Raw genomic sequence first — 14,266 nt, forward strand, 5'->3', positions numbered from 1 at the left:
CGATTGAGGCAGAAGAATAGGGTCTGGAAGAAGGAAACATAAGGCCGATTCATACTGACTTCCTAGAACTAAATCAAATGGAAACACTTCAGCTATGACAGGAAATATCCTTTCCATTCACAGAGGGCATATACCAAGTAAAGGACTTTGTAATTTTACTTCATCCTCTTCATTTACATAGGGCGTACACGAAGTGACCAGTGGAAACCTCTAGAAAATTCTGTAATGAGGCTCTTGAGCCCCTATGCTCAGGCCCACCCCCACCCTGCGGTGCATACTTTCATTTTGATTTTCAATACATCTCTGCTTTTGTTGCTTCATTCTTTCCTTGCTTTGTTTGTGCATTTTGTCCAATTCTTTATTGAAGATGCCAAGAACCTGGACACCCTCCATCAGTAACATAACGATCCTACAGGTTTGGAAGAAATGTAGCCTATTTTCCCCTGAGTTGTCTCTGTTCCTGCCTAAATATCCCTATTCCCTGCACCGCCCTTATGATGATTTCCATGGCTCTCACTGCCCCGGTTTCCTCCTCTGAACACACTCTATTTTATCTGTTGCTTCCCCAACCTGTATCACTTGGGACTCTGACATGTGGCCTAACAACAAAGCAACCAACTTGTCCCAGATTTTCCCAGGACTGTCCTGGTTTTAAACAGAAAGTGTCGTGTCGTTGGAACCCCTCAGTCCCTGGCAGCCTGGGATGGTTGGTCACCCTCTCCAACTAGCTCAAGCAACTTTGGCTTGGTATCTCCTTTCCTGTGACAACTTAATCATGTGGCTTAAATCACTTTAGCTTCTTTTTTTTTTTTTTTTTGAGACGCAGTCTTGCTCATTGCCCAGGCTGGAGTACAGAGGCGCGATCTCGGCTCACTGCAAGCTCCGCCTCCCGGGTTCACGCCATTCTCCTGTCTCAGCCTCCCGAGTAGCTGGGACTACAGGCACTCGCCACCACGCCTGGCTAAATTTTTTGTATTTTTAGTAGAGACAGGGTTTCACAGTGTTAGCCAGGATGTTCTCGATCTCCTGACCTTGTGATCTGCCCGCCTCAGCCTCCCAAAGTGCTGGGATTACAGGTGTAAGCCACCGCGCCCAGCCCACTTTAGCTTCTTAAGGATCACAGCTCTGACTAGGCAGATGCATGCCTGCAGATGTCTTCTAGTTAAAAATTTAATTATTAATTGATCAGCTTGTTGTTTTGCTGTCGTAATGACCACAGTATATGAGAAAGCAATCTCATGATCCCATCTTGGGCTAGATATGACCTACATTTGGCCAATGCCCACTGATTTATGCAGATGTAGCTTTAATCTTGAAGCAAAAAGCTTTTACTGACTTCATCCTATTGTTCACTGAACACTGCTACATGCCCAGCACTGTGTGAGATGCTGGGGAAATAAGCATGAAAGATACAATGACCCCAACCATGAGAGGCTCACTCAAGGCTCGTGGAAGGAGCACACGCTTCTGTAGACAGAGACGGACGGGTGGCAAAGGCTGCGTTCCTCTTCATCCTCTGTTTTGGGAAGCATATGTGAGAGAGAGAATGAGAGACAGAGGCCCTGCTTCCAGCTGCCTTCCCTGAAACACGAGGCCTAAGCTCTGTGGCATCAGGCAGTTCAAGCAGACACTGACCCCATACCTGACGGCAAACAATTGGACATTCCCAGGACCCTATGCACATCCACAGGTTGTTTAGAAGTGAGAAATAAAAATAAAATTCTAAGCCCCCAACTGATGGAATGGAACACCTCTTGGCCAAGAGAATCCCAGAGAAATTTGGAAGCTGAGTCCACCACCACAACGGATGGAGACGGGACACATCTCATTATACCCCATTCCTTACTGCCAGTCATTTGGCTTTCTACCCTATGGGCTAAACAGAAACCAGCCCTTTCAAAAGACAAGATCCTTCCAGGCACAGCTTATCTTCCCAAGCACCAAAAAAAGACAAGATCCTTCACCTCTCCCTGAGACGTCGCCTCCTCTATTCCCTTTTTCTTCAAATGTTCACCTATCTTATGTCAAATGTAGATTCACTGGGCACTAAAGTCTCCCAAGGATGTCATCATTTGCCTCAGTGCCAACCTGCCCCCCTTCTTGTAAGGAAAATGTATAAATACTAAACCTCCTGAGAACCTCTTTGAAAAAAACAGCCACAGATGCTTCTGTGACTTGTGTTTCTCCCAGGCACACCCTCCAGCTGGCCCAAAAACCGTGGTGATTTGGGACTCAGGCCACAATCCCTCAGAGGAGGTTGGCTAAGGCTGGAGTGTCAGTGGTAGGAGGCTCCAAGGTGGCTCCCAGGTGGCTACAGCCAGTTCCCCATGCAGCTGGGCTGTGAGCTATGCTGGGGACAAGATGACAGTGCAGACAGAGATGGAAAAGGGACACAATTGGAAGAGAAGATCTAGGAAAGGTGGAAGGAAGCCCCAGGTGGGCTTGGCAGCATCAGAACCCATCTCACCCTCACTCTTGCTGGTACCAGCACCCACACCAGCCACAGCTCAGGACTCCTGAGCCCCAAACCAAGTGCCTGCTCACTACATGAGACTTTTTTTTTTCTTTGAGATGAAGTTTTGCTCTTGTCACCCAGCCTGGAGTGTAGCTCACTGCAACCTCCTGAGTAACTGGGATTACAGGCACCCACCACCACGCCCGGCTAATTTTTGTATTTTTAGTAGAGACGGGGTTTCGCCATGTTGGCCAGGCTGGTCTCAAACTCCTGACCTCAGGTGATTTGTACATGGGACTATTCTTAAAAGAACAGTAAGAATCCCAGATCAAGTCCCATTACTGGGACTTCAAAGGGACCAAGATTTTGGGCTGCTCTGCTTGCTGTTTGCTGCCTTCTGGTTGGGACCTTGACTGAAATGAGTAGGTGCTTGGCTGGGGAAAAGAGGTTCCTTTTTTGGGAAGGTGGCTCACCTGCAACCCAGAAGCCCGGGCTCAGGATGCCTGTGAATGCTCTATCCAGACCGGCAGACCCATAGGGACAGCAGATTCCAAGTTACCCGGGGATGGCGGAGGGGCTGGGGAGTGATTACTCCGGGTTTGTAGCCCCCATTTTTCTAAGAGATGGTTTAATTATTTTTTCTCTCTCTTCTTTTCTTATCCCCCCAGTTCCCCACTTCCTACTTAGCCCTTTAGAAATGCAAATACAGGCTGAGAGCGGTGGCTCATGCCTGTAATCCTAGCACTCTGGGAGGCTGAGGCGGGTGGATCACCTGAGGTAAGGAGTTCAAGACCAGCCTGGCCAACATGGTGAAATCCCGGTCTCTACTAAAAATACAAAAATTAGCTGGGAGTGATGGCACATACCTGTAATCCTAGCTACTCAGAGGCTGAGGCAGGAGAATCACTTGAACCCCAGAGGCAGAAGTTGCAGTGAGCCGAGATCATGCCACTGCACTCCAGCCTGGGCGACAGAGCAAGACCCCATCTCAAAAAAAAAAAAAAAAAAGAAAAGAAAAAGGAATGCAAATACAGCCTTTTACCTCCCCCTTCACCAGCCTCTCCCTACAGGGCAAGTTCTTTTAACTATCTGCTCCAAAACAGGTCTGGAGAGTTACAAGTGGATTTACAAACCAAAGCAAGCCCGATACGAAACTTCCCCCCTCCAGGAGGTTGCCTGCCCACGAAGGTGCCAGCAGTCACCAGCCCAATCAACCAGTAGGGAAGGCATCAGAGCTAGCATGAACCCTTCACCCTTGCTTGTTCCCGCCCTTGCCTTTTAAAAGTGCCCGCTTTCTGCTCCAAAAGCGAAGCAGCACATTTAAAGACAAGACGCCTCTTCCCCTAAGCTGGCTTCAGAATAAACCACTTTCTTTATACCAGACCTCACTCTTGTTAATTGGACTCTGCATGCGGTGAGAGCAGGGAACCTGCTCTTCACTGTCAGGTTCAGGGAGGTTTTAGGGGTGATGACAAAGTTTTGAAACTAGAGAGAGCTGGGGCTTGCACAGCATTATGAATGCACTAACTATCGCCAAAGCGTACACTTTAAAAGGCTTAGTGTATATTATATGAATTTCACCTTGATTGAAAAAAAAAAAAAAAAGAAAGGATCCCTGGCCCCAAAGTGCTCTCCGAGGACTGAGGACACCAGAGGTGCTTGGTCACAAGAGATTTTTCTTTACCTGGCACAATGCCAGCCTCCCACCCAAGGAGCAGCTGCCATTGTGGCCTTGTGACCTCCCCAAACCCCAACATGCTCAGCAGACCCCTGAACAAAGATGGTGTGAGCTGAGCACGAAACCCCTCCCACAAAGAGCTGGCTGTCTGAGGCAGTCACCTTTGTCCAGACCCCATTGACTGCTCTGATGACAAGGTAATTCCTATAGAGCAAGGCCACGAGAGACCCAGGAGCTGCGGACCCCCAGGCACAGCCTCACCTGATCCTGGGTCATCACTGTCAGCAAGAACATCAAACCTGCCGCCCCACAGGGCCCCTCAGAGGGGGCAGCACAACCTCTGTGCTTATTCACTCACTTCCATCCCATTTCCTATGTCCCCATCTCACGACTTCTCCACTGTGGGAGCAGAAGTCCAGGAAACCCTCTGGTTCCTTGGCAGATGCTGCTGTGCCAACAGCCCAGGGCCAATTTGCAGCTTGACTGGCAGGGAAGCTGTCAGGAAAGACAGCTTTCAAGAGTGTGGCTGTTTTAACAGTTTCCCAAGATCATCAACATTGGGCAGCTGGACCACGAAGAGAAATCTCACATTTATTTAAACTTGGTAATGTTAGAAACAAATGCTTGTTCCTTGGTGCTTAAAAGAAGAACCAGCACTCAAAGAATTTTCCCAGCAAGGCAATTTTCCTTCTATAGAAGGGTGCAATGTGCAGATGGAGCAACGGTGAGAGCACACCTGAACAAGGGAGGGGAAGGGGTTCTTATTCCTGATGCAGTAGCCCCTACTGCTGCGTCGTTCCCCTATTGGCTAGGGTTGGACCACACAGTCTAAGCTAATTCCGATTGGCTATTTTAAAGAGAGCAGGGGTGGCCGGGTGCGGTGGCTCACACCTGTAATCCCAGCACTTTGGGAGGCCGAGGCAGGCGGATCACGAGGTCAGGAGATCGAGACCATCCTGGCTAACACGGTGAAACCCCGTCTCTACTAAAATTACAAAAAATTAGCCAGGTGCTGTGGTGAGCACCTGTAGCCCCAGCTACTCAGGAGGCTGAGACAGGAGAATGGTGTGAACCCAGGAGGCGGAGCTTGCAGTGAGCCAAGATCGCACCACTGCACTCCAACCTGGGTGGACAGAGCAAGACTCCATCTTAAAAAAAATTAATAAATAAAAAATAAATAGAGAGCAGGGGTGCGAGCCGGAGTGGCGGGAAAGGTGGTTACAGAACAGGTGACTCAGGATAATTCAGGTCAGAGCAGGTGACCAGGGGTGACTCAGGATGGAGCAGGTGACTAGGAGTGACTGAAGACGGAGCAGGTGACCAGGGGTGACTCAGGATGGAGCAGGTGACTAGGAGTGACTGAAGACAGAGCAGGTGACCAGGGGTGACTCAGGATGGAGCAGGTGACTAGGAGTGACTGAAGACGGAGCAGGTGACCAGGGGAACAGATGTGAACTACGGATTAGAACTCGTGGAAAAGGTTGTTTACCGAAACTAGGGGCGAGGGAGCAAAGAGAACCAGGAAGTTAAACTTTAAAATGGAGAACAAGGAATAAGAGAGCTGAACATACTGACATACTGATTCTTTGAAGAGAAATTTGGAGTTCACTATATTTAACAGTAAGGGGAAGCTGCCTTCTGCTGCTAGGAGGACAGGCTGCAGCCAACCAGGGCCAATCCCACCTCAGCTGAGAAGGATTCACCAGGAATAAAGGCGTCTCACAGGTACAGGCAGGTCTCCCCCATCGTGCCAAGAGAGACGGGGGCAGCAAGTGTGTCTATCTTATCTCAGATTCCCAAGAGTCTGCCTCAGAACAGGCACCCCATACGTATTTGATATATGAATGAGTGAATGAGTAAATGAATGAATGGATGGGTGGACATTCTAATCAAGTTATTTGGGAAAGGCCAGTTATGAAGAAGATGCACTTTCTAGGGCACATGAGGTCTCTAACTGGGGCCCACCTGAAGCTGCGATGCTATCATTATTACCCTATTACCATGACAGAAGAGAGAATGGAAGGTACGGTGGGAGACAGTAAGTTAAAGCCACATCATCAGGGGTGAGGACAGTCACGAGTGTGTGCCATCTTTGAGTCTGAGTATCGGTTTCCTGGGACTGCCATAACAAAGCACACCACACTCCAGGTGGCTTAAAACAGCAGAAATGGCACGGTGGCTCACACCTGTAATCCCAGCACTTTGGGAGGCTGAGGCGGGCAGATCATCTGAGGTCGGGGGTTCGAGACCAGCCTGACCAACATGGAGAAACCCCATCTCTACTACAAAAACTACAAAATTAGCTGGGTGTGGTGGCACATGCCTGTAATCCCAGCTACTCAGGAAGGCTGAGGCAGGAGAATCGCTTGAATCCGGGAGGCGGGGGCTGCAGTGAGCCAAGATCGCTCCACTGCACTCCAGCCTGGGAACAGCAGAAATGGACTCTCTCATGGTTCTGAAGGATAGAGCTTCAAGGCATCAGCAGGGCCGTGGTCTCTCTAAAAGCTCTAGGGGAGGATCCTTCCCTGCTTCTTCCGATGTCCATTGGCTGCCTGCAACCCTTGGCTTGTAGCCACATCACTCCGATCTCCACCTGCGACGTCACATGGCATTCTCCCTGTGTGCCTCTGTGTGTCTGTTTTCTCTTCTTAAGGACACCAGTCATTGGATTAAGGGCCCACCCTCATCCAGTATGACCTCCTCTTGATTGATAACATTTGTAAAGACCCTGTTTCTAAATAAGATCACATCCAAGGTTGTAGGGGGACCTCCTCTTGATTGATTATATCTACAAGGACCCTGTTTCTAAATAAGATCACATTGGAGGTTCTGAGGGGGACATGAATTCTGGGGACACTATTCAGCCTGGTGCAGTCAGTCGTGGCGAGCCCTGAACAAATGCCCACTGCGAGAGGCCATCCTTCCGAACTGAGCTGCTTCTGTACAGTGAGCAGTGGGCTTCTTGCTGCGCAGCTGAACCCAGGCCCAGAGTTTGAGACAGGCCAGGAGAGAAATCTGTGGTTCCCCGTGTGACCTGCCATCTCAACCTCAAATCCCAGAGTACTTTGCACAGGGAGAGGCTTTGGCATTCTTGTTGTTGGAAAAGTAGCGATTTAGCACCATTAGCGAGTCACAGAGAGGACAGAAAACAAAACCAGGACAGGGTTAATGGGGAGGAAGTATCTTCTCACATCCACTCACCACCTATGGGATCTGGTGACCTTAGAAATGAGGCAGCCACAGAACAAAATAGCCAAACCTCAGGCAGGGCAAGGAGGAAGAAGGGGAAATTGGGAAAAATCAAGTGTATTGAGCACTAACCATGCACTGGTGCTCATTTAGTCTTCACAGAGTCCCCGATCAGGAATGGAGGGGCTGCTGGAAACTTACAATCAAAACAAGAGCAGCCTCTTCTGCTTCCTAGGGGAGTAGCAGAGTTCTTCTCACGGAACTCATGGTTTTGAAACGCAAGGCGCCAGCTAGCCAGGATGGAAGAAGGTCTCTATCAGAAAAAACCCAGACATTCCGCCCACCACCCTAACCCAGAAGCCCCAGAGACAGGAAGCCAGGGGACAGCAGAGACAGAGACCGGAAATGAGAAGCAGAGACAGATAGGAAAGATCTCCCCAGGGAGAGCACAGTTCTAACACCAGTGTGGCAGGGCAGCAGGCTAGACTGAGGAGGAAGGCAGTGAGCAACAGGTTGGTTCCCCTTGCTGGGATGACAAGAAAACTCAGGAAGAGAAACGCTGATTGCCCAGGCTGCCCCTTTGTTATCCCCAGACCTTCTGCAATACTTACGCATACAAATCGGCATCAGAAGGTCTGTTATCCCCACACCTTCTGCAATACTCATGCACACAAATCGGCATCAGTGGAGACTGCTGTTCTAGCACCCAGAGCCACCGGCAGGAAAGACCTAAGGCAACCCAGAGCAGAGCTGGGACCCACAGGTGGTAGAAGACAGGTGGGCAGCCACCCCAGAGCCCCCAGAAACCCTAGGGAAGGAGGAGATTTGGGATTTCCCTTAGGACTGTGAGGAACATTTGTGTTATTTTATTTGAATGTTTTATGAAAGCATGACCACAGAAGTTGAAGGACTTAGTCACACCCCTACAGCGAAGGTATTCCCTCTACTCCATAGGAAAGTAAACCATAGAACATCTGCACGGGCTACCTGAGACCACAGTTGCTGAGGAGCAAAAGTGGAATTTGAGGCTGGGCGCAGTGGCTCAGGCCTGTAATCCCAGCACTTTGGGAGGCCGAGGCGGGTGGATGACGAGGTCAGGAGATCAAGACCATCCTGGCTGACACGGTGAAACCCCATCTCTACTAAAAATACAAAAAATTAGCCGGGTGTGGTGGCGGGGGCCTGTAGTCCCAGCTACCCGGAGGCTAAGGCAGGAGAATAGCGTGAACCTGGGAGGCGGAGGTTGCAGTGAGCCCAGACCACGCCACTGCACTCCAGCCTGGGCGACAGAGCGAGACTCCGTCTCAAAAAAAAAAAAAAAAAAAAAAAAAAAAGTGGAATTTGCACCCAGGTCTGAGCTGAGCCAAAGCTCATGTCCCTTCTGTCCACCAGGCTTCTCCTGAAAGGGGTGTGAACTCATCTGCTTTTTAAGTCCCTGGCAACCAGAAGGGCTCAGCTGGTACTCAGCAACTCCAATAAGCTTGTCTATGCCCATCAAAAAGAAGCTCGCTGATGACATCACCCTCAGCAAAAGGAGGCCCAGAATGAGGAAGCCAATGGCTGCTTGATGCCCTCTACCTAACTCCTATCTTTTTAAGAGTCCAGGCCTGGGGACCAAATGAACGATCAACCCATTGCCACAAGAGGGTATTCAGACTACAGGCCCGACTTTGCAAGCAAAAATGGAAGGGAGCAAAGCAAATCAATTTATGTACAAAGTCTTGCACCCATGGTGACCCAACAGAGCAACAGACCATCCTTTCTCCAATTTGTTCATCTCCATGATGGGTGGGGTGGCTGGCTGAAACATCACAGTTTAGCAAGACAGGCGGTGGCCTTACAATTAAAATAGCTTTTCAATAATTATGAACCAGTGAACATGGGCTGGGAGGATGTGCGTATCAGGAGGAAGGATACAGTGTGTCACCTGCTCTTGGCCGACTTGGAGGACTGACTCCCAGGCACTGCCTTTTGGCGGCTCCTCTGTGCTTGAGGGAGTGGCTCCTGTCCACAGATCTCTGTGCCCATCACTAGGTTCTGTAAGTCACACCCAAGAACCCTGGACATCTCAGTGCTGTACAAAGGGAGGACAGTCGCTCAGACCTGGCCAGGAAGACGAGGTGGAAAGAGTGACAACTTCCCCCAAAGACATCAAAGCCCCACACATTCATCATATAAGCTACTGGGCAGTTCCAGGGGCTCAAGCACTGCCACCCCAGTATCTTGAAGGTCATTTGCTAGGATGCTGGGTGCCAACGCTGTAGCCTAGTGGGGTAATCATGTGCAAAGCTCACCTGGTCCTTTTAAGAACCAGGCAGCATGTAATGCAGTGCTGTTTGCAACAGCAAAATCTCTGAAAACCACCAAGGCCATGACCATCTGGCCAGTCAGCTGGCACAGTTCTTAACTCGCTTTTTTTTATTGTTAAAATTTTATCTTCAGAAATCTCCCCAGGTTCTGATAAGCATAGATATTCAGTGCAAAATGGACTAGTCCATTTGACCTTAGAAAAGAGGACTTTCTTTTATTGTTTTTTATTAATAGCAATCAAATCATTTTTATTTATTTATTTAAGACCGTGTGTGTGTGTGTGTGTGTGTGTGTGTGTGTGTGCGCATGTGTGTGTGTATTTGAGACAGGGTCTCACTCTGTCACCCAGACTGGAGTGCAGTGGTGCGATCTCGGCTCACTGCGACCTCACCTCCTGGGCTCAGGTGATTCTTGTGCCTCACCCTCCCAAGTAGCTGGGATTACAGGCACCCGCCACCATGCCTGGATAATTTTTGTATTTTTAGTAGAGACGGGGTTTCAGCATGTTGGCCAGGCTGGTCTCGAACTCCTGACCTCAAGTGATCCACCTGCTTCAGCCTTGCAAAGTGCTGGGATTACAGGTGGGAGCCACCATGCCCTGCCAAATTATTTTTAATTGTGGAAAACTACACATAACATAAAGGTTACCACTTGACCATTTTTCCAGTGTATAGTGCAGTAGTGATGAGTACATACACCTTGCTGTGAAACCACCAGCCATCTCCAGAATGTTTTCATCTTGCAAAACTGACAGTCTGTACCCACTCAACAACAACTCTCCATTTTCTTTGACTTTTGAGCTTTAAAAATTCTATTAATAGACCATGGTATATGGTAATTCACTTTTCAGCTCAAAAATTTCTGGAAACATTATGCATAGAGTCTTAAAAAGCACCAGCACCCTCATCCGCCCCCACCGGAGAGTTCACAGGAAGATAGTGAGGGAAGAAGGGGACAGAACAAAGAGACGCAGAAGCAAAGGTAAATGAATGTTTCGTGAGAAAGAGGCCTGGAAAGTGCAGACTCGGAGAGGCTACGTTTAAACCACGAGGTCACCTTGGGTCATCCCTGGCTCTGGCCTCAATAACTTTTACAAAGGAATCTCCCTAGCACCGGGGTGATAAGCAAGACTCATTTTGGGCCCCTGAGCTGCCCCATCCTTGGACATGATGACCCCATCAGGCAGCATGCGTGAACAGCCGCTCCCCTCTGAGCAAACTGCTAAGTAACTTCTAGAAAAAAAAAATGGTCCTCAATATTTGGGGGGTGGAAAATAGAACCATTCTGAGTCCATACATGAATTCAGATTTCACAGTGTAACCCTGACTTTGTGAGGGTTTAAAGGCCCTCCAGGGCCCATCTTCAAACACGCACACACCAAGAATAACTTCACAGGGAAGTATTTATTTCATGAGACTCTCATAGGCTGCCTTTTTGCCCTTTGCCAACAACAGATGAGTTCCTACCCGCAGAGAAAAGCTGCGGCCCTACTTTTTCAAGCAAGCAGACCAAGGCTGTGCTGAGCAGAATAGGAGAGCAAGACTCCTGGGCTGGCATCAAGAGGGCCAGAGCCCATAAATGCCTCCTGAAGATACCTGTGCCCACAGTCGCCCTGTGCTGGAGAGCCCAGCGGGTCCAGGATGCCGGGACCAGTCCTGAGGCAGTTCCTGCACCAGCCCGCCACAGAAGGAGGCCCACATCCACGATCAGGCCTTCCACATTCTCTCTGCATCGGCCTTGAAACTGGGCACATTCTTTGTACCAGCAATCCTATTTATCATAATCTAATTTCAGGAAATAATTGTGGACACACACAAAAGAAGGACAGAGCAATAAGAATGTTCTCTGTGGGGTTGTTTACAGAATCCAGTGATTAGAAACAACTGAACTTCCAACCGTCTGAGGCAGATTGAAAACATGGCATTTTTTCCACGGGCTAGGGGAGAAGCATCCCAAAGACAGATGGTCTCTAATGGTTTTGATGACATAAAAAAACTTGCACAATCGAATAAGTACACATAAATATAAAACACACAAAAAATATGACCAGTGTGAGGGTAAGCAGTTAGGTAGATAGATCTGTCTTTCTCACCAACATGAGGTTTGTATTCTAAAAAATCTGAGGTTGGCTAGCAAGATCATGAATACTACGGGATTGAGAGAAAAACAATTAAATGACCTTCAGTATGCTTCAAAAATACAGGAAATGTAAGTTCATGAAGAGGGGGTTACTACAGAAATAGCATCAGAGCTGGTACCCTGCCCCAGGCAGTGCTGGAAGGGACTACGAGTCCCATAGGTAGCCAGCCCTGCACCTCACACTAGGCAGGAGTGGGAAGGCCTCACTGGAGAGTTTGGGGGATGAGTGACGACTGTGCCCCATGTCCCCACAGCCTGACTGCGTGGGTGGACTGCGGGTGAACAGGAATGTGAAGTTTCCTATAGGCCCCATGAAGTGATGAGGCCCTGTAGGGGGTGATCTCAGGCCAGCCACCTTCTTTGGAGATGTGTGGTCAGGATGAAGAGGCTGCAGCCTGCAGGCTCCATCCAGGCACAAGCTTGGAATGCCTGAAAGGCTGAGACAGAGCAGCCTGTGCAGAGAAGACATTACCAAAGATGCAGGTGGCACATGTGAATTCAAACCCCCTTTCTTCAAGCCACCCCGAGGTTACCCCCAAATATCTCATGTGAAAATAAGGCAAGTGGAATACTACCTGAGTAAGCATTTACCCAAAGACACAGGCTTCCAAGAGCAGCTACTTCATCAGAAAAAGACTGTCAATGGTTTAGAATGAACTTCTACTCCCTCCTACCCCACCGCCACTACCCAGTGTAATGGTATCTGCCAATGACAGATAAACGTGTTCTCCCAAATTTCAACATAATTTTCTTTTTTCTCACTTCTGAGTGGTAGGCATCATCTTAAAATCACTATAGGCAAAACTACACTTGGCAAGGGACTTTAGTAGCCCGATTGTTCACTGTGCTTCCCAGTGGGCTTATGGGAAATGTTTACTCATTTTCTTTTTGGTTCACTTATGTTTTCTAAATATTCTACCATAGACATGTATTTTTTTACATAAGAAAACAACTGCTTGGTTTATTATTACTTTTTACCTTTTTATTTTTTTGAGACAGGGTGGAGTGTAGTGGTGCTATTTCGGCTCACTGCAGCCTTGACCTCTGGGCTCAAGTGATCCTCCTGCCTCAGCCTCCCAAGTAGCTGGGACTACAGGCTCACTCCACCATGCCTGGGTAATTTTTATATTTTATTTATTATTTATTTATTTTTATTTTTGTGGAGACAATGTCTCCCTTTGTGGCCCAGGCTGGTCTTGGATTTCCAGACTCAAGTGATTGATTCTGCCTCCTCAGCCTCCCAAAATGCTGGGATTACAGGCATGAGCTACTGTGCCTGGTCTGCTTAGTTTATTTTTATTTGTCTTGGCTGGGCATCTGTTTTCCATCAGTGCTCCCACCCTGCAGGAAGCACAGGAGGGTGAACTCACCTGGCAGTGGGCAGCCCAGGATCTCCATTCTCATGCAGATGCTCCCATTATCAAACCAGGACTGAGGGTTTATGCGGATGTAGCGGGCCACCATGGGGACGGGTAGCTCATTGAGAACAGGGATCTCCTTCTCACTGTTTCCCTCAAATATCTATTTATGCTCATGGGAGAAAAGGAAAATCTTTTAGTGCTTAATTACCAAGGGATAAAAAGTCAGAATTCACTCATTCAACAAGACTTTATTGAGGAAAACCTAATGTGTGCTGTGCATTGAAAAGAAAAAAAAAAAAAAAAGAAATGAATCAGGCCTGGATCCTGCCCTCAGGAAGCCTCCATCTAGTTGGTATGCAGGGAGTGGGGCTGGTAATTATATACTGTAGAAAAAATCTATCGGTGTCACGGCAAAAGGACAACTAGAGAGCTTTGGGATTTCAGAAGATGGAGAGGACCAGGCAAAGTTTTGGGGAAGAGGGGCTGTTTGAACTGGCATTGAAGGAAAGCTATTTAGATCCGTAGGGATGAGAGGGTATCCAGAGAAAATGAACAATGAGTGCAGAAGCCTAAATATTGGATTCATAGGCAGAAGAGCAGCTGTTTCACTTGTACAAGGACACAGGACTGTGTGTAGGGGGTAAGAATGAGAAAGAAGGTTGAAAAAGGAGGCCACAGTCAAGACTAGTCAGACTATGTAAGACATTGGATACCATGCTAGGAATATGCACTTGAGAATCTGAGGAAGAGAGTGACAGGATCAGGACTAAGCTGGAGCTAATCATGGAACTAAAAGGCCAAGGTCACCAAATGAAGTTAGGAAACTATTAAGAACAGCTGCAAGGGGCCCTAGCATGCCCCATGCATGCAACTTCCAGGGCTAACTTGCAAATTACATAAAAGGCTGCATTCCTGCAGTTGCCTGATGGGAGTAAATAAAGGCTGAATTTTACATTAGCTCTAAATGTGTGTCACTTGCTGCTGGGCTTCAGGGCAGGGAAAGGGTCTCTGTCCATCAGACTGTAGTGGTAGGTTTGAGTTGACAGAGAATCCACAAATCTCCAAAGAGTTGATCATACATTGCCTCTCTTTGCAAAACCCCACCCAGCCAGGAAGAAAGGCATGGTTAAATGG

The 14,266-nt window shown here is 48.3% G+C and overlaps 1 protein-coding gene across 6 annotated transcripts in view; it reads right to left on the reverse strand.

Annotated features, from left to right (window-relative positions):
- Positions 1-14,266, reverse strand: part of CPXM2 (carboxypeptidase X, M14 family member 2) — a 198,466-nt gene that overhangs the window by 39,196 nt on the left and 145,004 nt on the right. For all 6 annotated transcript variants that reach the window (XM_017015673.2, NM_198148.3, XM_011539285.3 and 3 more), the window contains one exon: positions 13,142-13,292. In XM_017015673.2, the coding sequence (XP_016871162.1) occupies positions 13,142-13,292 (151 nt within the window). The remainder of the gene's footprint in view (positions 1-13,141; positions 13,293-14,266) is intronic.

This window comes from Homo sapiens, chromosome 10, assembly GCF_000001405.40.
Source record: "Homo sapiens chromosome 10, GRCh38.p14 Primary Assembly".
Classification (NCBI taxonomy): Eukaryota; Metazoa; Chordata; class Mammalia; order Primates; family Hominidae; genus Homo; species Homo sapiens.